The 23448-nt window shown below is 37.6% G+C and overlaps 1 annotated feature.

Moving 5' to 3' along the window:
• Nucleotides 374–574: a silencer, noted in NCBI's record as "peak5565 fragment used in MPRA reporter construct". NCBI's record gives its function as "represses an SCP1 promoter by STARR-seq MPRAs in K562 erythroleukemia cells {active_cell/tissue: K562}" and the evidence as "EXISTENCE:reporter gene assay evidence [ECO:0000049][PMID:32103011]".

The following is a 23448-nucleotide window of genomic DNA, read 5'->3' on the forward strand; positions in this document are numbered from 1 at the left end:
TTCAGGCCTGGGGCCCCAACTATATCCTTTGCTCAGAATTTCTCAACATCAGCACTACTGACATTTGAAACCAGATAAACTTTTGTTGGGAGGGGCGATTGTCTTATTCCCCGTGGGACACTTAGCAGCATGCCTGGCCTCTATTTATCAGATGCTAGTAGCACCCCTACCTCCAACTGTGACAACAAAAATTTCTCCAAACATTGCCAAACATCCCTTGGGAGTCAAAATCACCATAGTGCTAAAGTGGCATGACTTTGATAAGGGTTATTTTCAAGTGTGTCTATGTATGGAGGTTGGAATTTCAGGAACCCAGGTAAACATCATTTGACTTTCACCATTAGTAAAGTCCTTTGGTAATTACTGATTACTTCCAACAGTTAGAGGTAAGTAGAAGCTAGATGTCTTCACACAGTCCAGCAACACTATGAAGCATTAGGTCTCAGTGACAGCCAGTCCCCTGTCAAGCTCCTGGCACACAAACAGACATTGTTAACACTAGGTGCATAAACGGTCATGCAGCCTATTCCTTATAGGTAAAGACTCTACTTTCCATCCTTATAGACCCTTTGAAAATCCCACTGACTCTCAAACTATTCCATTTTTGGGGGGAACAGATGCTCAAGCCTTCTAGATCTGGAGTACTAACCCAGAGGCATTAAAGTCTCAAGCTTTTCAATAATACTTTTCAACAGTGTCTCCAAAAAGTCACTTTTGTGACTTTTTAACAACAAAAATTCACTTCTAATATCCTTTATTGTAACTAATAAACTCTGGCAAATTTATATAGTAGCATTTGAAGAACTAACAATAGCTGCCTCTGGAGTGTACATAACTGACTGAGAACCTTTAGGAGCTAAGGAAAACCCTAGAATGTAGATTCCTTATTAGGGTACCTCAGATGTTATTCAACTATCGCTACACTCTAGACAAAAGTTATTTTACACAAATTTTCACTACACAGTTGGTACTGTGCGTTGTAAAGAAAATTGGACCCACGCTTGCATAAAAAGAGTTGGGCTGGGCATATTGGGCAAAGACCAGGAGGTCATTCTTTGAATTTTGGTTGGATAAACCCTGAGATTCAAACATGCTTAGATTTTATTCTCAAATTTAGAAGGTAAGATCTATTTATATTTGAAACACATATATATATTTAAAAACCATTTATGTAGGAGAAAGATAGGACATTTCTCATCTCTCTCAGGTGGAATAACCTTACTTATTACATGGGTCTTCTCTGAGTTCAGTTTTAAGTTTAGGTTCTTCTTTTACCTTGACAACCCCCAATTTCATGCTGCCTTTCCTCTATCTATGGTAACTATAATCTTTTCGCTAGCTTTTAAGTAGGAATTTTAGTCCCAGCTGTAAAAACCTATTTTCATTGCAATGAAATAACTTTTAATGATAGAGAATAGGAAAATTTGCCTCTAAGGGCAAAAATTGATGTGCTCTTATTTAGTTCTGGTTGGGATTCTCATTTTAGCATCCAAGGGTGCATTTGTATGTGCCCTCGAAAACCCTATATTTTGGGGCTCTTACATGTCATCTTTCCAGATACCAAGGTATCCTAAAGCTACATAATTATCTATTGTAATTATTATAACAATATCTATTATTGCTTGCTCCTATTACAATGTATTATGATATATATATCATTTATTGATATATAGATATCTATCTATATAAATATATAATGAGAAGAAACCTGAGATTCCAAAGCCTGTTTTTATTCCAGATTATTAATTCTGAGCTGGATTTGATCATTATTTTTATCTAAATAGTATTAAAATATGACTTTTTCAATCTTGTTTTGGTTTTAGAAATATTTACACATTGGAGTAGAGATCCATCTCAGTGCCTAGCCTGGACTCTAAACACAATAAAATGTTTTTTGTTCCCTCAGCATGCTATGCTTCTAAGTGTTTTTTCTTCCTTTTTGTTTGCAACAGTTTTTTGTCTACCTGAAATAACCTTCTCTTCTTTTTCCTTTATCTTGTCTTTCTCCTACAGATCTCATTATCCTGTTGTGCCTTTTTTTTTTTTTTTTTTACCTTCTCCAGAAGTGGGAGATGCACTGCCTTGTCCCCTCTTCACTGATGATGCTGTCCTGTAGCCATTTGCCATCCTTGCTCTTTTTGAACGTGGCTGCCAGCTTTTTGGAGAAGGAAATATGGTGTAGCTATTATTGCATTTGGAGAAACTAGCACAATTTATGACTAAGGAAGAGCATCAATAGATACATCCTGAATTGACTTGAAATTAAAATTTCAGCCTTCTTATAATTTACATATCTGATACTTTAGAGTGCATGCTTTTTAGTTGACAAAGGAAGACATTTGGAATGGGAAGTGGGGAGTGTCATTCCAAAAGCAGCTGCAGTAGAAGCATTAGAACTACCTCGTCCAGCCAGCCCTGTGTGACAAGGTGGGCAGCATATGGCGGGACAAGCTTTCGGAACGCTGACAGCAGTGGGGTATAGCACGGAATAGAAGATGGGGGCACCATAACAAGACACTATGTTTGATGATCTTCAGTAAAGTTACTAAGCTCGTGTGTGCTCAAAGTGATGAGATTCCTTAGAAGAATCGAAGGAGGACAGAATCTTGGGTCTGAATTTGACACGTGGGTTCCTGGGAATGTCTATGAAAACAGGCATGGAAATAGGGGCAATGAGAAAGTAAGATGGGAAATTGGTAGAAACTCTGAGTGTGTGTTTGTGTGTGTGTGTCTGTGTGTTAATAAACAGTGGGAACACACAAATTTTAAAATTTAGAGCATTCAGGACCATTTCACTTAAATCTCAGAAGTACAGAAAGGCTCCCAAGAATCATGTTACAGATACTTTATGTCCACGATTTCGTTTGATTCTCACATTAACATAATGAAATAGACACAAAGTAGTTATTGTTATCATTTCACAGATGAGGAAATGCAACTTAAAGAGGTTAAGTTCATAATAATTAAATTATGTTAAATTATTCATTTAAATGAATACTAAGAGGCAGAATTATGTGCTGAGTATTGTATGCTTCACTTCATTATCTCATTTAATCATCTCAAATACAACAAGAGGTCGCTACTATTATTATACCCACTTTTCAGTCGAGGAAACTGAGAGGTTAAGCTGGTTCCTCAGTGTCACACAGGAAACCATGAACTGAGAATCAGGTCCATCCATTCTAAAGCCTCTATAGTTAGTCACTGTGATTTTACCTTTGCAGCTTATGAATCTTAAAATCCAGTCTTCTTCAACACTACTTTTCTCCTACTCCATTACAAACAAACAAGTAAATCAGAAAAAAGAAAAAAAAAAAAAAGGAAACAATCCAGGAGATGATTTCAGCCCCGACTTTAACATTTGCTCATTCATTTTAATCGTGCTCTATGACAACAAAGGAGTGTGGGGATTCCAAGTACAACCAGTAACTTGTTCCATATTCAGAATGGGCCCTCACATCCCATCGCCTGGCCACATGCTCTGTTCATTCCTGTGATCACAGACACAGCCAGCAACCCGTTCCATCACCTCCTGCCTCTTTGCATTTCAAGTGTTTCAGGGTGCCTGCAGACAGGAACTCATTTATCCCTCCATGTGATGATAAAGTCACTGTCCCATTCCTCTCAAATGGTGAGAGTGAGGTACTGGAGGGAGGAGGAGCCCTTTCTAAAGGTCATACTGAGATGGGAGTGGAGCCCTGGGGACCTGGATCCCCCATCCCACCAGGGCTGCCTTCCTCCTCCTCAGCTGTCCTATTGATTTTCTAGAAAAGAGATACAAGCATCAGGCACAGGAATGATGGGTTGTTAGCATTTGATGATAATGGTTATCACTGGGGGAAACTTTGAATAGAAGATTTTTATCAGCGAACTGATTCAGGACTAAAAATATTTCAGAACGATCTGATTTTCTGTGTTTAGTTAGAAATTCTTCCCCACCTCCCTCTTGAAAACTGATCTCTGGGTGGGGGGAGGGGGTGGAAAGGAAGCTTAAGAAAATTCCTCAGGCCAGCTGTGGCGGCTCACACTTGGAATCCCAGCACTTTGGGAGGCCAAGGCGGGAGGATCACCTGAGGTCAGGAGTTTGAGACCAGCCTGGACAAAATGGTGAAGCCCTGTCTCTACTAAAAATACAAAAATTAGCCAGGCGTGGTGGCGGGTGCCCATAATCCCAGCTACTTGGGAGGTTGAGGCAGGAGAATCGCTTGAACCCAGGAGGTGGAGGTTGCAGTGAGCTGAGATCACGCCATTACATTCCAGCCTGGACAACAAGAGTGAAACTCTGTCTCAAAAAACAAACAAACAAACGAACACCCTCAGTTTAAATTTTTTTGAATAAATAAAATCCTAAATTACACATGGCTAGATTTCCATTTCAGAAGCCAGTTTTCTGATAGCCATATAATTAAAACCCTCTTATTTAAAATAATGGAATAAAATCTATGTATTATTAATCCGTGGTTTCCTAAACTTAAATATATTCTTTCCTTCCTAACTTTTGCCATATCCAAATATGGCTTCTATTGTTATTTTTTAAAGAAACTTAATATTTTTCTTTAAATTGATAATTTTTTAAAAAGCTTACTTTCTTTAGTATGTTTCCAATATGCCTCTATAAAAAAGGTACTAATAACACTACACAAATACATAGCTAATAAAATAAAACCTATTTGTTCATATAACACCTAAAACCATGTCACATACTACCAGCAGCAAGCTTTCTACCTCTTAGATGGCCTTTTCTATTATTGGGCTAAGGCAATAGAGATAACGTTCAGGAGCTCCAGGAGAAATATGTTAAGGATCGGTGGAATGATCTCTGACAGAGATCATTTATAAAGTAAATAATATATTGATGTGTGTACATCTCCTTTGATTTCTTGACTTCAATACTGATTGATTTTAGAGTTAGGCATTGATAGAGTTTGGCTGTGTCCCCACCCAAGTGTCATCTTGAATTGTAATTCCCACGTGTTGAGGGAGGGAAGTGACAGGATCATGGGGGCTGTTTCCCCCATGTTGTTTTCATGATGGCGAGTTCTCATGAGATCTAATGGTTTTATAAGGGACTCTTCCCTCTTTGCTTTCTCTTTCTTGTGAAGAAAGTGCCTGCTTCCCCTTCACTTTCTCCCATGACTGTGGGTTTCCCGAGGCCACCCTAGCCATGAAGAACTGTGAGTCCATTAAACCTCTTTTATTTATAAATTACCCGGTCTTGGGTAGTATCTTTATAGCAGTGTAAGAACAGACTAATACAGGCATCTTCTTTCACCAAAGCAGCGAGGTAGGTTTAATAAATTGGGCAGCATGTAATGCCTAGCAGCTCTTTTCCCTATCAGCAGTCTAGAACCTGAAAGGAACATTATTTTTTTCAGCTCAGATTTTTTTCCGCATGTGTTTTTTTCTACTAAAGATATAGACAATGTAGCTGAAACTTAAGTATACTTTTGTGGGGTCATGTTACTTTATCAACTTAATACTTACACCATTTGCTCCAAAAAGAGGTGTCCATCTCCTTATTCATACCCTGCTTCTCTCCTGCCACAGTGCTGACATGTTGCATAGTAAGCAATTAATCTAACCCAAAAGAGAGGGCTGGCCTTTGCCCTTGGCTCCTGGGAGGTGATGTCTAGGCCATGGAAATGTCCTGCCTGATAAGAGTACCTTTGTTTACCTGGGAGGTTGGGCCACTCTGGACAGCCCAAACACATGATTAATGATAAGGCTTCAGGCCCTGTAGTATCCATTCATCTTCTAGAGGGGCTGTAGACTAAAGGTCTGGCACAGAGGCAGTCAACTCTGTCTATGTGATTGAATTTCAATAAAAACTCTGGATACCAAGGTCCGGTGAGCTTCCCTAATAGGTAATACTTTGTGCATATTGTCACAAATCATTGCTGGTAGAGGTAATGTCGGGGGCTCCATTGGGAGAGGATAACTGGAAGCTCCACATTTGGAACCCTTCCAGACTCTGTCCCACACATCTCTTCTTTTGCATGACTTTAATCTATATCCTTTCACTTTTATAAAACAAAACTATGAGTATAGCAATCATAATATTCAGTGAGTTCTGTGAGTTCTTCTAGTAAAGCATTGACCTCAGGGTGCGTACTGTACCCCCACCATCACACTCATCATCAGCACTGTGTGAATGACAGGCACTGTAATATCATAGCTGAATAACTTGCAGCCCTATTCCCCATTAAGCAACTCTGTGACCTTGAACAAGTTACTTAGATTCTCTAAATTTCTGTTCATATAATGGGAATAATACTATCATGTACTTTGTGGAGTTGTGAAAAATCAGTAACATTGCTGTGCTGAGCCATATTAGAACCTGAGGCAAAAGGAAAAATTGGTATTGATTTATTCTTTGTTTCAATTTCTGACATTTTGTTCATCACAAATATTTAATAATTTTTATTTAAAAAATTCACTAAAAATTATTTATCTTGACTACCAAGTTTTTGAGAGGCCCTCAAATTTTCCACCTAAGATGAAAGCTTTAATCATCTCACCTTACTCTTGGCTCTAGAGTGAAGATGAACAGTAATAATGAAAATAAATTGCATACAACAGGGTCAGTCGTATAGGGAACACTCGATAAATAACATGTAATTCTTGCAGATATTGTTGTTGTCGTTAACTTAGACATGACTTTGGAGATTTAGTGCTATGTTAATGAGGATTAAAAAGAAACTATAACTAGAGACAGAAAATGGGCAGTAGTTTTAGCATAAAGGAAACATGAAGAGTTTATTTCCAAGTGTTGCCTGTAAAGATTAAGCAGTGCACGTAAGTATGAGTGCTGCCGCGTGAGTTTTTTAATTTATTATATGAAAAATGGCAAATGAATAGGTTGGAGGCTCTTTATAAATGTTAGCATTTATCAAAAGATGTTAAATTTGTAAAGATTATCTTTTTTTTTTTTTTTTTTTTTTTTTTTTTTTGAGACAGGATCTCACTCTGTCACCCAGGCTGGAATGCAGTGGTGCAGTGACAGCTCACTGCAGCCTCCACTTCCTGGGCTCAAGAGATCCTTCTGCCTCAGCCCTCGGAGCTAGTGCTACAGGTGCATACCACCGTGCCCAGCTAATTTTAAATTTGTTTGTAGAGGCAGGATCTCCTTATGTTACTTAGGCTGGTCTTGAACTCCTGGACTCAAGTAATCCTCCTGCCTTGGCCTCCCAAAATGCTAGGACTATGGGTGTGCACCACTGCTCCAGGCCAAGATTATCTTTAAACAAATAGTACATTCAACATTCAGTACATTGAAATGCTTAGGAAGTATAATATTCTAGTTAAATAAATGTACCCGGAGAATTTATTTCCGATTCAGCTTCTGCTATTGAAAATTCTCTGTAAAACATCTCCACCGACTTCCCTACCACAGTAACTGGAGTAGATGGAGCACAATAACCTGGAGGCATTCTTGTGGACATTCATGATTCTTGGTTCAATCTGTGTTTATAGGTGTTGGAGACAGAGCTGTGACTTTTGAAACTTAATCCCTTACAAAATACACGTTTTTCATCCACAACTTGTATCTTACTTCCTGAGGGAGATAAATAAAACTAAATTCCTGCTGTGGTATAATAAAAAATAAATATTTGTTTTTTTTTTTTTTTTTGTCCCAAGGTTCTGAAAAACTAACCAAGTAATTGGAGGGTTAGAACTCCTCCCCAGTCCCCCATCTCAGGAGAAAGTGGGGGAGAGGGGTTTTAAGCACAAATGATGAATAATGGTATCAGTCAGGCCTATGGAATGAAACCTTGATGAAACCCTCTAAATGAAGGGGGTTGAGGAGCTCCTGAGTTGGTGAACACATTGAGATGCTGTGAGAAGAGCTCATCTGAGAGCACGTGGAAGCCCTGCTCCTGGCCCTCCCATAGCTTGTCCTGTGCAGTGCTGCTTTTTAGCCGTCCCTGAGTTGTAGCCTTTCAAACAGAAATCTCAGCAATAAGGAAAGTATTTTCCTGAGTTCTGTAAATCATTCTAGCAATTATAGAACCTGAGGAGGAGTTTGTGGGGACCTCCAAATTTATAGCCAGTGAGACTGGCATGTGATGTGGAGGCAGTCTTGTAGGCCTGAGCTCTTAATCCTTGGGGTGTGCCCCACTGTGGGAAGTTAGTGTCAGAACTGAATTGTTGGAAACCCAGTTGGTGTCAGAGAATTAGAGAACTTCTAATATAGTTTACATGTATTTATCCTTACAAAAATCTTGCTGGGCTCCTTCAAATCTTTTGGAGTTATTCTAGTTTTACAACTGCAGTAAACACATTGGCTATGACCAAAGGTTCTCTCTGCTTCTTATTATTTCTATTAATTCCCTAAAATGAATTAGCATTTTAGAAAGGCTTTACAATTTAATTAACTGATGAAATTCCTATAAATAGAATATTTACATCTTTTAGTGTTGTATAAATAACCAGTTTATTGGATAAGTTTTCCATTAGTTATATTGTCATCCTTCATTCCAGGATGAACTGTTTCTACTTCTAAGACACAATCTGTTCCCGCATAGGTACTCTTGAAAACTAAACTCAGAAGGTAGGAAGGAAAATTGAGAAATGGAAAAGGCATCTGAAGTTTACAGCAGTGTTATTCACAATGTGGTGTTTAAACCAGCAGCATTTGTCTTACCTGTAAGCTTGTTAGAAATGCAAATTCATTGGCTCCACTTCAACTTATGGAAGTGGGATGGGGCCCAGGACACTGTGTTCAACAAGCTTTTTAGGTGATCCATATGCACAGTAAAGTCTGAGAACCACTGCTCCATATATAGTTTAGTCAAAGGTATGTTCAGGTGAGTAAGTCAGCAGTGATGAGAAGCTCAGATTAAATGGTAGGGTGACAAACTCTTCTAGTTTGTCTGGGGCTGTGAATGTTCTGGGATGCAGGACTTTCAGGGCTACAATCAGGTAAGTTCCAGGCAAACTGGGACAAGTTGGTGATCATGATCAAATGGTTTTGTGAGTATTTGAAAAGCTAGCATGCCTCACATTTAATTTTGTCTCTACTGGATATCCTTTATTCCCCGAGTGATTTCCCTCAGGCTCTGAGCATGACCAGATTAATATGGCTATCTTGTGGGTCATAGATTTGGGGAATTCAATAAGGTAGTTAGTTAGAGCTGACATTTTGTTCTTGCTGTGACTGCTGGAGTTTGATTACACCAGAGTGTGTGATCCATAACTTGCTTCTCTGCTTAATTCCTTCTCACTTCAATGTTATATATGCAACAGGGCTCAAACATGGCAGAAGCTGGGAATGACTTTAAAGTTCTTTAAAGCCACTTACATTTATTTATTTTATTTTTCTTTGTTGTCTATGTCTGTTTGCTCTAGCCTAGGTTATTATGAATCCCTTTTTTTGGTTTCCTAACTGAGCGGAATTCTTCATTAATAGTATAAGTTTGCACTTACGTCAATGAGTCTTATTTTTCAATAGTTTTTGGGTATTATTACAATTTTAGATGTTGCAAAAGTGCTGTAAATGCCACTGAGAGTTGATTAATACAGTTAACAGCTACTAGTAATTATGAATGTCATTTTTACTTTAAATGTGGCTTTATTTTAGCATGACTTTGAAAGCTTAATTCTAAGGAAATAGAGTAGAAATTGTTCCAAAGAAATCAGGTTTATCTTTTGTGAAGTTCAAAGCAGAAATAAAACAAAACAAAACAAAACATCCCCCAATTTGTCTATCGCTAATGAAATCAAATGAGTTGATGGGTATGTGTTTCTTCAAACATAATAACTCTGTACAAATTATTTGTTTTTAATGTCATAAAAGCCCATGTTGTATTATTTGGTTTTCTTAAAGCTCTTACAATGAGGACTCAATTATGTTGCATTCACAAACAATTAGGTTTGACTATTTGGATGCAAACTATTGTTGCCAACATTTTGCAGCATTTTTTAACTAGTAAAAACATTCTGCTTTGTCTATTAAAATACTCATTTTGTAAATTGTTTTTCCATGTGATTTAGACTGTAGCACAAATGCTTTTTCTCTCTTTTTGTCGCTAATTTTTCCCCTGTTTATCCACACGATTTGCTGGATAAATCCTATGAATTATCTCTGAAATATGGGCTTGCTTTACTGAATTAAGGACTCAGTCTCAAGTTTGAGAGAACTTTAGATCCAAGCTAAATGAAAGAGTCATTTCCAAAGGCTTTACTATACCCATTTAGTAGTTGCTCAGTAACTTCAATCCCCAACATGTGCCAGATTGTATGGTCTGATCCATGAACCTCGGTGGTACACTCCGGCCCAGAAGGCAGAGTTCTTCATTATTCTGGGCCAGGTTTTGAAGTCATCACATATGATGAGAATTAGGTGTGTTCAAAAATTAACCACTGAATAACTCTTAGGAAGCTACGCTTGGTACCAACATACTATTGTTGCAGGTACAACACAGTTTTTCTTTTAAGAATGGAAAAGGTTATCTGATTTTGATTGTGCACTAGATGAAATACTTGGATCATATTCTCGTCATTAGAGCAAAACTGTATATCCTCAAATATTAGAATTACACTTGGCATGTGGAGTGGGGCCAAAAATCTAAACAGTGTATGTATTAGAACCACCTGTGGAAACAAGAAATTCAAGACCTTCATCTCACTCCCACTCCACGTCTGCCTGAATTAAGGGCAACGGCAGGCGGCAGACATGCCTTCAGTTTAAATGTTCATTCATTCTCTCCCCTTCTCTTTGTGCCTTGATTCCTTTCCCTGTCATTTAGTTTAGTTTCATCATAGGCCTTTACAAATTAGGTTTTGTTTTTATTCTCATTTTGCAAAAGTTAGTGACTCTCCCATCAGAGAGAAAGTAGAAAGTAGCAGTGCCAATATTTAAATCTAGGCTTCCTATCACTGAAACTTCTACCTTAGTCCCTGTGCTACATTATTATACAACATACCCATGAGCAGTCTTTGATGACATTGTATAAGAAACAAAAAGCCAAAATGTTAGGTAGCCCCAAACCCTGAAATATACATCCAGTGGGAAAGTTGTTGCTGTCTTGTCACTGCTTTTGCAGTGATGGTCTTACAGACATCTGTATAGGCAGATGCTTGACTACTTTTCATTCTATTTCCTAAACCTCTGGGACTAGGTTTCCAATATCACCTCTTTCCAGTTGTAACCAAGGTTTTGACACAACTAGGGCTCTGATATTGGTAGAAGGAAGTTGTTTGAGAGCCCTTCTCCCAAGTTGAAACCAATGATTACATAAAAGTCTTATCTATAGAACTTTGTTCAGTATAATATAATATAGTCCATTGGTAATTTTGGAACTGGAGGGACTAATTCAGTTGCAGTTTACATGAAACTTTAGCAAATTGGACTGACCAAGATGTTTGAGTTATGCCTATGCTAGCCACAGTAATAAGTGTCCTGTTAATTTTATGAGCACAGAAACCACTATGAAATTTTCTGTGCCTCAGTTCAGCATGTGTGTCTACTATTCCTTATCGAAGATCTGCTTTCCAAGTTAGAATCCAAATATAAATGCATCGGGCTATATATATGGGGGTTCACAACATAAGAGATGAATGCAATGGTCCATGTAATTATAGCAATATAAGCTTCTAAGCCATCAATGAGCTATGAGTGCATTGCAAAAGCTAGCCAAGCAAATCAAGCTTTGTGATATACCAGCTTTTTCTTTATTTCAGAATCACTTTTTAAAAAAAAAAAAAAAGAAATGAAAACTTACTAACCTTTCACTCAATACAAAATAATGACGGACTCCTAGTTCGTTTATATTCAGCTGGGGTAACATATTTATTCAGGTGCCAGATGTAGAGTGTCAATGGATTAAAGTATATAGGCAAAGTGGGCAATTGTACTGTAAATGTAACTTAAGTGAATATGGCCTGCAAAGATATTATTGATTTATTTTATCTAATTTGGTTTGTATTGCAATTCAAGCTCAAGATGGAGGGTTGAAGTCATTTGTCTTCTATAGGTGAAATGACTTCAGGTCACAAGGGAACCGAACTAAGTGAATAGGAAGTCTCTTTGTTTGAGGACGCAAAGAGAGTGGAAATATTTTCCAGTATGAAGAGGGTAGAGAGAGGGAAGTGTTGTGCTTTCAAGGACACTAGGAAATCATATTCCACCAGGAAGAAAACATGCAACCACCACTCAGTAAAACATTCTGATTTCCTTGTCAATATTAAAACAATATCCCTTAATGGCTGATAAGTTGATCTTTGGGAAGCTAGGCATGGGGCTTAGGGATGTTCCTTATCATCGATCACTTTGTAAATCAGCTGAATAAGAAGAAAGGCACCTTTCTAGGTGCTGTACAAAGCACCCTATTGAGTAGGTCATGTTCCTGCCTCAGTTCTCCAAGTGTCCAGGCTTATGAAGAAAAGAGAGAGAAGCTTGTGGGCACAGAAGAGCAACGTTCTCTCTCTTAACCCTTTTTCTCTTGAAATTGTTACAAAATTGCTTAATACTAAATTTAGTGTTGAATGATTGAACATGAATGCTGAAAAGCAAACTATTTAGTTCCATTAAACTATTGTGAGAATATTATATTATGTGGCTTTAATCCCAGAATTATTATAGCCTAAATTCATGATGATTATAAAGAAAAAGAGAATAATTAGGACTTTAAAAATAGGGTTGTCAGAAAGCAAACTTTGTACAATTCATTAGTTTAGGTACTCTGACATATCTCTGTGAAACATGGAAATATTCATATTCTTTCCAATTAAGATGGGGAAACTGAGGCCTAGGGAGGCCTGGTGAGCAGTCCAAGGCCACCTGGGGTGACCATAAGAGTTTTCAAGGTGGAAAAGTGATTGGCACTGCATGCCAGTAAGAGTCTCTTGGCTCCGCTGCTTCTAGAGTTGCAAAGAGATCTATTAATTAAACAGAACAGTCAGACAGCTCCCTAGGAGTCTTTGGATATGAAGTCTCTAATGATTTCATGCAAAATGTCCCAGACCTGAAACATCTGTTCTGGAGATACAGTCAAGTTCCACTCCATAGTCCCAAGTTAACAACTTATTTTATTTCCTTTTATTTTATTTTTTTAAGCACGTAGCAGCTGTCCACTTATTTCAGAGGACAGACCTTGGTTTTAAACCTCAGTCAGAGAATGCTACATAGAAAACTCTCCACACTTCACTGTATGTGCTAATTAGAACTTCTTACACAAACACATAAATTCATTTATACACTGATGAATTTTCATTTTCCAAATAGCTCCACTATAAAGGCCAGAAAAGTAAAAAATAGTCCAAGGAATTTAACGTTTATTTTTATGCAAGCTTGGATGATTTTTAGAATTGTTTTGTGTTTGGAGGATTGATTTGCATGTGCAATGCATTTGTTTTTTGAGATTTTGAAACATTTCCTGGAAAAGGGAGGCAAATTTTCTTCATAGAGAGGCATCCAGTTAGATACTCTGAGTTAAACCCAGGAGAACAGAAGTGAAAGAAACAGAAATAATCCCTAGGTCATGCATTCACAGGGCCCAAGGGAAAGAGTGAAGGGCATCAAGGAAAAGATAAAAGTAGCTTATTATTTCACTGCTGCATGGGGTAAATTTGTCTCCAGTGTGAGCCCTACGGTGAATAAAGAGAAATCACCTAGGTCTCTTTCTATTGCATCCCTTCAATAAGGGACAGTAGGTAAATGTCATAGTCTCATCTCTCCCATAGAAATGCTAATTTATGTGCTGTTTCCTTTTTAAATCATTCCTCACTTTACCCTCATTAAACACACATAAACACACATTCATACGTATTTATTCATCCATCTACCCATCTATCCATCCAATATATACTGAGCACCTACTATTGGCCTGGCACTCTCTGGGGCCCTCGAACAAGACAGAGGTCACAGCTTTTATCTGCTTCTACACAGCTCACAATCTTGTGGGAGACCCATATAATTACAAAGTAAATCAAATCCATAATAAAGATACTTTGAGTACAAAGAACTGTTAGAAAGAGTATAATGATAAATAATTATTTGGAGAAACAGAAGTCCTTTGGGTAAGAAGTTGATCATGAAAAGCCCTCCTCAATAAGATTAAATTATATGACTGATGGAAAAGAATTAACAATGCAGTGTTTTGAGGAAAGAATCTTCCAGAAAAAGAGAAGAAAATTCACAATAGCTGTGAGGCCAGGACAGATTTTTTTTTTTAAATAGAAGGTCATAAAGTTTAGAGCATAATGATTGTAAATTGACTTATTGGAGTGTGGTGTAGGATGAAGCCAGGGAGGTTAACAGGAGCTAAATCATGAAAATATCTTATAGGCTATTAAAAAAAAAAACATTGACATTTCCTTCTTTATTTAAACTTTGATACAATTTTCTACATAACATCTATGGGCTAGGCATTGCACCAAATATTTTACGGATGCTATTTCATGTCCCTTCATAACAATCCTGTGAGGAATGCAACAATATCCTCATTTTGCAGATAAGAAAACTAAAACTCGGCCAGGCACGGTGGCTCATGCCTATAATCCCAGCACTTTGGGAGGCCGAGGCGGGTGGATCACAAGGTCAGGACATCAAGACCATCCTGGCTAACAAGGTGAAACCCCGTCTCTACTAAAAATACAAAGAATTAGCCAGGCGTGGTGGCGGGTGCCTTAACTAGCTGACATGTTGTATATATAATGCAGGTGAAACATACACAGAAACAACCGTCTTCTGAAATAGGAAAGCTGAGATCCTGTTGACCAGAAGAAACTGAGTGTAGAAGAAAGTGTTCCTTAGGTATGACAGTTAATGGTAGTTAGATTCTGAATGATCTCTGCTAAATGACCTCCATTATTAGAGTTTAAATTCTCCATCACAGATAGATTGAAGATTTTCATGATGCCAAGAAGTCATCTATGTAGATATAAGTATATAGATGTGTGTGTCTGCATGTTTACATATATATTCATATACATGAGTTGTATATGAGTGTGGTGCAGGATGTTCCTATTCATATGTATTCAAATATACTCACATATGACTTATACATTGAGGAAGACTGAATTTTTTAAAATTATACTTTAAGTTTTGGGATACATATGCAGAACGTGCAGGTTTGTTACATAGGTATACATGTGCCATGGTGGTTTGCTGCACCCATCAACACATAATCTACATTAGGTATTTCTCCTAATGCTATCCCTCCCCTAGCCCCCCATTCCCTGACAGGCCCCAGTGTGTGATGTTTCCTTTCCTGTGTCCATGTGTTCTCATTGTTCAACTCTCACTTATGAGTGAGAACATGTTTTCTGTTCCTTTGTTAGTTTACTGAGAATAGTGGTTTCCAGCTTCATCCATGTCCCTGCAAAGGACATGATCTCATCCTTTTTTATGGCTGCATAGTATTCCATGGTGTATATGTGCCACATTTTCTTTATGCATTCTATCATTGATGGGCATTTAGGTTGGTTCCAAGTCTTTGCTATTGTGAATAGTGCTGCCATAAACATATGTGTGCATGTGTCTTTATAGTAGAATAATTTATAACCCTTTGGGCATATACCTAGTAATGGGATTGCTATGTCAAATGGTATTTCAGGTTCTAGATCCTTGAGGAATTGCCACACTGTCTTCCACAGTGGTTAAACTAATTTACACTCCCACTAACAGTGTAAAAGCATTCCTATTTCTCCACATCCTCTCCAGCATCTGTTGTTTCCTGGCTTTTTGATGATTGCCATTCTAATTGGCATGAGATAGTATCTCATTGTGGTTTTGATTTGCATTTCTCTAATGTCCAGTGATGATGAGCATTTTTTCATATGTTTGTTGACTGTGTGAATGTCTTCTTTTGAGAAGTGTCTGTTCATATCCTTTGTCCACTTTTTGATGGGGTTGTTTGGTTTTTTTCTTGTAAATTTGTTTAAGTTCCTTATAGATTCTGGATATTAGCCATTTGTCAGATGGATAGATTGCAAACATTTTCTCCCATTCTGTAGGTTGCCTGTTCACTCTGATGATAGTTCCTTTTGCTGTGCAGAAGCTCTTTAGTTTAATTAGATCCCATTTGTCAATTTTGGCTTCTGTTGCCATTGCTTTTGGTGTTTTAGTCATGAAGTCTTTGCCCATGCCTATGTCCTGAATGGTATTGCCTAGGTTTTCTTCTAGGGTTTTTATGGTTTTAGGTCTTACATTTAAGTCTTTAATCCATCATAAGTTCATTTTTGTATAAGGTGTAAGGAAGGGGTCCAGTTTCAGTTTTCTTCATGTGGCTAGCCAGTTTTCCCAACACCATTTATTAAATAGGGAATCCTTTCCCCATTTCTTGTTTTTGTCAGGTTTGTCAAAAGTCAGATGGTTCTAGATGTATGGCATTATTTCTGAGTCCTCTGTTCTGTTCCATTGGTCTATATATCTGTTTTAGTACCATTTACCATGCTGTTTTGGTTACTGTTGCCTTGTAGTATAGTTTGAAGTCAGGTAGCGTGATGCCTCCAGCTTTGTTCTTTTTGCTTAGGATTGTCTTGGCTATACAGGCTCTTTTTTGGTTCCATATGAAATTTAAAGTATTTTTTTCTAATTCTGTGAAGAAATTTAATGGTAGCTTGATGGGGATAACATTGAATCTATAAATTACTTTGGGCAGTATGTCCATTTTCATGATATTGATTCTTCCTATCCATGAGCATGGAATGTCTGAATGTTTTTCCATTTGTTTGTGTCCTCTCTGACTTCCTTGAGCAGTGGTTTGTAGTTCTCCTTGAAGAGGTTCTTCACATCCCTTGTAAGTTGGATTCCTAGGTATTTATTCTCTTTGTAGCAACTGTGAATGGGAGTTCACTCATGATTTGGCTCTCTGTTTGTCTATTATTGGGGTATAAGAATGCTTGTGAGTTTTGCACATTGATTTTTTATCCTGAGACTTTGCTGAAGTTGCTTGTCAGCTTAAGGAGATTTTGGGCTGGTATGATGGGGTTTTCTAAATATACAATCATGTCATCTGCAAATAGAGACAATGTGACTTCCTCTCTGCCTATTTGAATACACTTTATTTCTTTCTCTGGCCTGATTGCCCTGGCCAGAACTTCCAGTACTATGTTGAATAGGAGTGGTGAGAGAGGGCATCCTTGTCTTGTGCCAGTTTTCAAAGGGAATGCTTCCAGTATTTCAAAGGGAATGCCCATTCAGTATGACATTGCCTGTGGGTTTGTCATAAATAGCTCTTATTATTTTGAGATACTTTCCATCAATACCTAGTTTTTTGAGAGTCAATAAATGGTCTCTCTGTCTGTGTCTCTTTTCTCTGCTTGCCCTTGGAACTTAGCAATCATGTTGTGAGAAAGAAACCCCAGGCCACATGGAAAAGCCACGGTGTTTACTTGTTTCTGCTAATGACCCCAATTAAACACAGTCTACAGATAACTACCAGAAATGTGAGTGAATAAGCTTTCAGATGATTCCAGCTTCCTCCCTTCCAGCCACCCCAAGGGATGCCGAGTAAAACAGAAACAAACTGTTCTCACTAAGTCTTGCCCAAACTTCAGATTTGTAAGTAAAGTGTAAATTTTATCATTGTTTGAAGCACTAATATTTAGGATAACTTGTTATACAACCAGAGCAACTGGAACACACACACACACACACAAACACACACACGCAAAACATTCTTTGAAGATGACATACACGTACACACACACACACATTCTGGCTAGTGGTGGCCTTTAACAGCCTAATTAACTGACTTAATGTTCATTTCCTTGGTCTATTAAGTGGAGATAATAATGGCTCCTAGTACATAAAGTTGTGTAAAATAAATAGGACAATGTTTATATATCTCTTAGCACAGTGCCTGGCACATAATAGGTGCTCAGTGACTGTCACCATAAAATAAAATTACTTATTCTATAAAATAAAATTTAAAGTCATCATTACTGTTATTACTTTGCCATTGGGCATGGGCCCAGTTTACAACTTATGTGTTTTTCCCCTAGAGCTCACTTAAAAAGTTTTCAAATAAAAGTGCCACCCAAGCTGTACTATTATCTAAATAGTTTCTGAAGCATGTAAGAAAATCAGAGCTATGGATAATTAGAGGTCAGCTGAAGAGACCAGTAAAAGACGTCTCACCACATCTTAAGGGAGAAAGAAAGCAAAAGGCTTAGAAACTAGAACAGGTTTTTTTTTTTTTAAGGCAGAATGAATATATATATTTGTCCATGAACTTTATCCAGTTGTGAAATTCAGGATGAAACCTAGACATTTATGTGTTGATGACAGTTGCCACCAATTAAATTTCATCCCAGCACAAATCAGATGGCATAAATCAAGGACTTTGAGGAAAAGGAAGTCATTTTTCCAAGAAAATGTGTTATTCCCTTTTGTACAAATGCTACCTTTTGGGATCATAATTGTATTTATAACAACAGGGCCCATTGTTGTGCTGTGTCATTGTCTAGACTTTTTTTGCAGAAGGCTATTGTTGTTGATTCCATAGTATTCTTTTCCATTTGCACAGGTTTTATTTGTATCATGTCATTTCTTGAAAAAATGAAGGTAAATCCAAGAGGTTCTGGAAATTCTGATTGGTGGGTAGCCTGTTGGGTTAGGTAGACTCCTGAGCACATCTAACTGTCAGATCTAACTGTCAGTTGAAAGCACAAAATTCCCAAACTAAGAGCTACCAGTCTCTATGAATCTAAGATACTCCCATGTCTTGGCCTTATACAATCGCATATTCATCTCTGGTAAGTCAAATAAAAATTACCCAACTGTTTTTTTTGAATCATTTATACCAATTGACGTCAGCATTTGGTGAAGACACTTTGATTAGGAACCTCTCCCCATGAAAAGAGCAGGAGGGAGCACAGGGTTACCTAAGGCACTGTCTTTAACTTAGCTTTAAAATTGCAGGGCTGAACCTGGCACTGTCTATGACTACCCTGTGCAAATCACTGCTGTTGTCCCATGAGACACTTCTGACATCCTAAGCACCTGACACCCAACTTAGAAATTCCAACAACAGGGAAGTTGTTCAAGTCCTCATCAGTGGGTGCAGGAAAAGTCTGAAATCCAATCAGATGTTGTAACTTTGAGTAGACTTATTTTCTCCCATTAGGAGATGGTTGATAGATGCATGATCTTTCTTACTAATGCTCTTGGTAACTCCTCATTCTCCAGGAAACATTTTTCACTCTTTCCTTACTAACTTCCTACCCCTACCCCCTTTTAACATAATCTTCAGCCAGGCTAGAAGACTGTGCTATGAGGAACCATTGCACCTTCTATTTATCTTTATTATCCTGTTTTCATTGCTATTGCTACCTTTACCTGTCTTCCTTGCTTGATTTTATATTCCACAATGGGAAAGACGGTATCTATCATGGTACCCCCAGTACCCCCTAGTGCACAGACTGGCAAAAAGTAAACACAGTAACAGTGAGTGTTGGAAAAAACAGTAAATGAGTGAACAAGCTTACCAGATTCACAGGACCTAAACCTCCTAGTAATTGAACTAATCATTTCTATGGCTTCAAAATGAAATCACAATTTAATTGAAGAAATAGGGTAAATACACAGGTTGGTATTGAACAAGCTTTTAAAAGCCCATAAAATAATAAAGACTACTAGGTACACTGTTGATCTCCTTGCCTGTAATCTCTCAGCTTTCTCATTACCTCCTGAATACTGCTAAAAGTCCAGTTTCACAGGAATTAAAGGAAATAGTGCAGTCATCTTAATTATGTGAATTTAAATCCCCGTCTTGCTTTACATCAGCAGTGTGCCTTAGTTTGCTCATTGTTAAAGCTGTGTTAATAATTTTACTGTTATTTGAGGATTAGAAATAATATACATAAAGCACCTAGTACAGGGGTCAGAATGTGGCAGTATGCATTATGTAAAACCCCTCTCAATAGTAGCATTGTATTCTCATTTTTAAACACTTTCGGTGACTCCCCATTGCCGACCTAAAGAATAAAATTAGGTAACACAGTTAATCCCACAATGGGTTCTTTCTTTTCCAGCCTCAAATCCCTCTATATTTCTCCTATTTCAGATTCTCCATCCAAATTGCCCACTCCTTCTTCTTCAACATGCTTGGAACTTTCAAGACTTTGTACCTTTGGTTATACTGTATTATCAGGCTGGATTGTTATTTCTTATCTGCTGAAATTCCTTTTACTGTGAGAGGCCATATTGAGCCGTGTTTAAGAACATGGACTAACGGGTCCAGTCTACCTGGGTTCAAATCCTAGATCCCTTGCATAATACATCTGTGACCTTGGAAAACTTACTTAACATCTCCAGGCCTCAGAGTCAGTGAGGGTACAATGGGAACAAGAAAACACTTATCTTCCAGGGTTACAAAGATGAAAGGAATTCGCATGCGTAAAGTTATAATAATGTACCTATAACCGTGTATGGAATGAAGTGAGTGCTGCCTGGAATATTAGTTGCTATCATCGTCAGACTCATCATCAATATCATCAACAATAGTTTCTTCAAGAATTCTCCATAAATGCTTTCCCCTGTCATTTGTCACTGTCTGCTCTTTCCTTAGTCTTCTGCCAACACTTTTCTTGTATCTTTATTATAGAACTTAAAAATTATGTTTTATATTATAGTAAATGGTTTGAATGCTTGCCACCACCATAATATTCTATGTTTCTTTAGGGTGAAGGCCATGATGCCCTCTTCCTCATTTTTTCTCTTATAGAAGGATCTTAGAAAAGTGTTTTCATAAATGCTGGACACAGGCTAAGTGTGAAATGAATACGAAAGCATGTGTCTATTTATTATTTACATGTTCTTTTATCTGTCTTCTTGTATGATAACGAGAACATTGACCTCGTCTGTCACTGCTGTAATTCCAGAGCTTAAAATAGTGCCTGTCACAACACAGGCACTTGGGACTCATTTGTCGAATAAAAGAAGAAATAAATGAATCCATGAATTAATGGAAGAATTGATAAATCAAGGCATCTGCATTTGAGGTTTTCTGAAACTCTCTCTGTAGTGAATTAGAAAGTGTGTGCTGTGGCCCTAAGGTTCCTCTTGCATTTCCACACATAAACATGCCTATATGTATGAAGAATGCAAAACGGAAATTATTTCCAGAAACAGGATACAAATTGGACATGGGGGAAACTGCTTGAGTAGGTGGCAGGAAGATATTTGAACAAAAATATCTTGCCTAGAGAAAAGCAGGTGGAATTTGCCTTTTCAACATTTTTGTGCCAAGCTGGATAATTTACTTCTCACCTGGGAACAGTTTCCTTCCTGCAGCCGTAATGTGAGTTTCACCACAGCTGTGGAGCTAAAGTCAAAGTCAAAGACAGAGAAGCATGCTTAGAATCTAGGAGTGCCCTTATCAAACTAGCCTCAGGTCCCTCAAGCGTGAACGTCAGTGACAAAAAATAAGCTACTACACAATCATATTTGAGATCTTTCTGTCCTCTCCTGATTCCAGAAGTAAATATAAATGGGAGCAGTTCAGACACTGCTTTCTTGTACAGAATCTGAGCAGTGAGCATAGTGCAAATAAAAAATTAACACACCAAAACCACAACATTTATAATCTATGGCATGGATTGGCAGTACTTCCTTTTTGTAAATAATGTTTTATTGAAACAAAGTCATATGCATTCATGTAAGTATGACCTGTGTTGATTTCTGGCTACAATGGCAAAGTTGAATAAGTGCGACAGAGATCTGTCTCACAAGTGTAAAATATTTGCTATCTGCCCTTGAAAAACAAAGTTTGCAACTCCTGTTCTCAATAATCTAGAGTAGCTGTTCAGCCTTACATGATACATTAGCTTTGGGATCTGCAAATTGTAAGCCATAAAGGTCTCCTAGGAATTGTTTTATGACCACATGACATATGGAAATGCATTTTTGGATTCTTCATTGGCAATAACTCTGAAGTCATATATGGTTTCTAGTTTCATTTTCTTACAATAATCACCAAATTAAATATTGGTGTCTACTCTCCTAGACTCAACTAATGCTTAATGAGATCTTTCCTTGTATTTTTACTTCATCCATTCCTGTCTGCTGATATTTACCATTTTGTTCATTTACAATTTTCCTGAAAACTGTGAGCTGCTGCAAACTCGTGTTTCAAAACACAATGTGATATTCTGCCTTTTCCACGTTCAGAGGAGCCAACCCTATGAGGTACCTGTTAAGTATTGACACATGGGTCAAAACTATTCACTAAGATATACAATGAAAGGCTAGATTTCATTGGCTGAAAGCAAAAAAAATACTGAAATCATGAAAATAATATACTTTGATAGGCCGTATGTGTGTGTGTGAGAGAGAGGACAAAAGAATTAGAGAAAGATTATTTATGTATTCAGGAGCAGTAATGTTATCTTACGGTAATGAATCTCCAATGCATAGGATACTCCTAATACAACAGGGTAGTGGAGGAAAGCAGGTTTTGAAGTTTTGCTGAAATTTATCAATGGGATTATCTCTACTATTTCTTAAGGGACCACAGATGTATGTGGTTTTAAATTATTTTGGTTGCCGGGCAAGGATGATTTTGAATATGTTCCATGTGCCAACTAGGCAATAAGTCATCATTTTTCATGTTGCACGTGTGAAATAGGGATAAGGTCTATATCTATAGGATTTTTAGAAGAACAGCTTCAGACAATTTATGTGAAAGTGGTAAGTAAATTCTGATTTTCTTCACAATGTCTGTTATTATCATTACTACATTTACTACATTGTCATGGCTCGTGATGAAAAGGTTTCCAACCCTGTTAACCAGAAGGCTAACATGATGTGATGAGGCCTCGTTTCAATCATCTCCTCAAATGAAAGACAATTGATAGTGTTCTTATCAAAAGTTTTGTCTCCTGTAGAGCTGAGTCTTGAAAATCACATGCTTTAGGCAAATACAGGGAAAAGAACAGCAGTTCTCATTTCTGACATAACTTCACATTGTCTTTTGAAAATTTAAGCCTGAGGATACATTATGTGCTTTCTTCTTTGCACCTGGTCATACACCTTTCAGTAAATGCTTGCTGTTAAAATGATAAATTGATGCTATTAAAACACTTTAATGCATAGTGCACCAAAAGTGCCTACTTAAAGGCTAGTTTCCCTTCAGAATTTTGAGGAAGATGCCTTCTCAGCTTTTCTTTATTGGCACAGTTCTTAAGAGAATGGGAATATATTTGTATGTGCTTGTGTTGCTCTAAGGGTCCACCAGAGATAATGTAATATTACTGTAAAAGCTTCAAGTGGCTTTAATGAGATATTCTTAGTTGGCAAATAGCTCATCTCTTCTTCTTCTTCCTCCCTTTCTGAAGGGTTGTGAGTTTGGCAGGTGATGAAATGATACTTTTGTTTTTGTCTCAAGCTCCTTAGTTTGACTTTTCTGCCCATTGTTTTTAGAGACAATGTATGTAATTTCTGAATAAAAGATGTCTAGACCAGGCACGGTGGCTCACACCTGTAATCCTAGCACTTTGGAA

This window comes from Homo sapiens, chromosome 5 (genome assembly GCF_000001405.40).
Source record: "Homo sapiens chromosome 5, GRCh38.p14 Primary Assembly".
In the NCBI taxonomy this organism is placed as follows: Eukaryota; Metazoa; Chordata; class Mammalia; order Primates; family Hominidae; genus Homo; species Homo sapiens.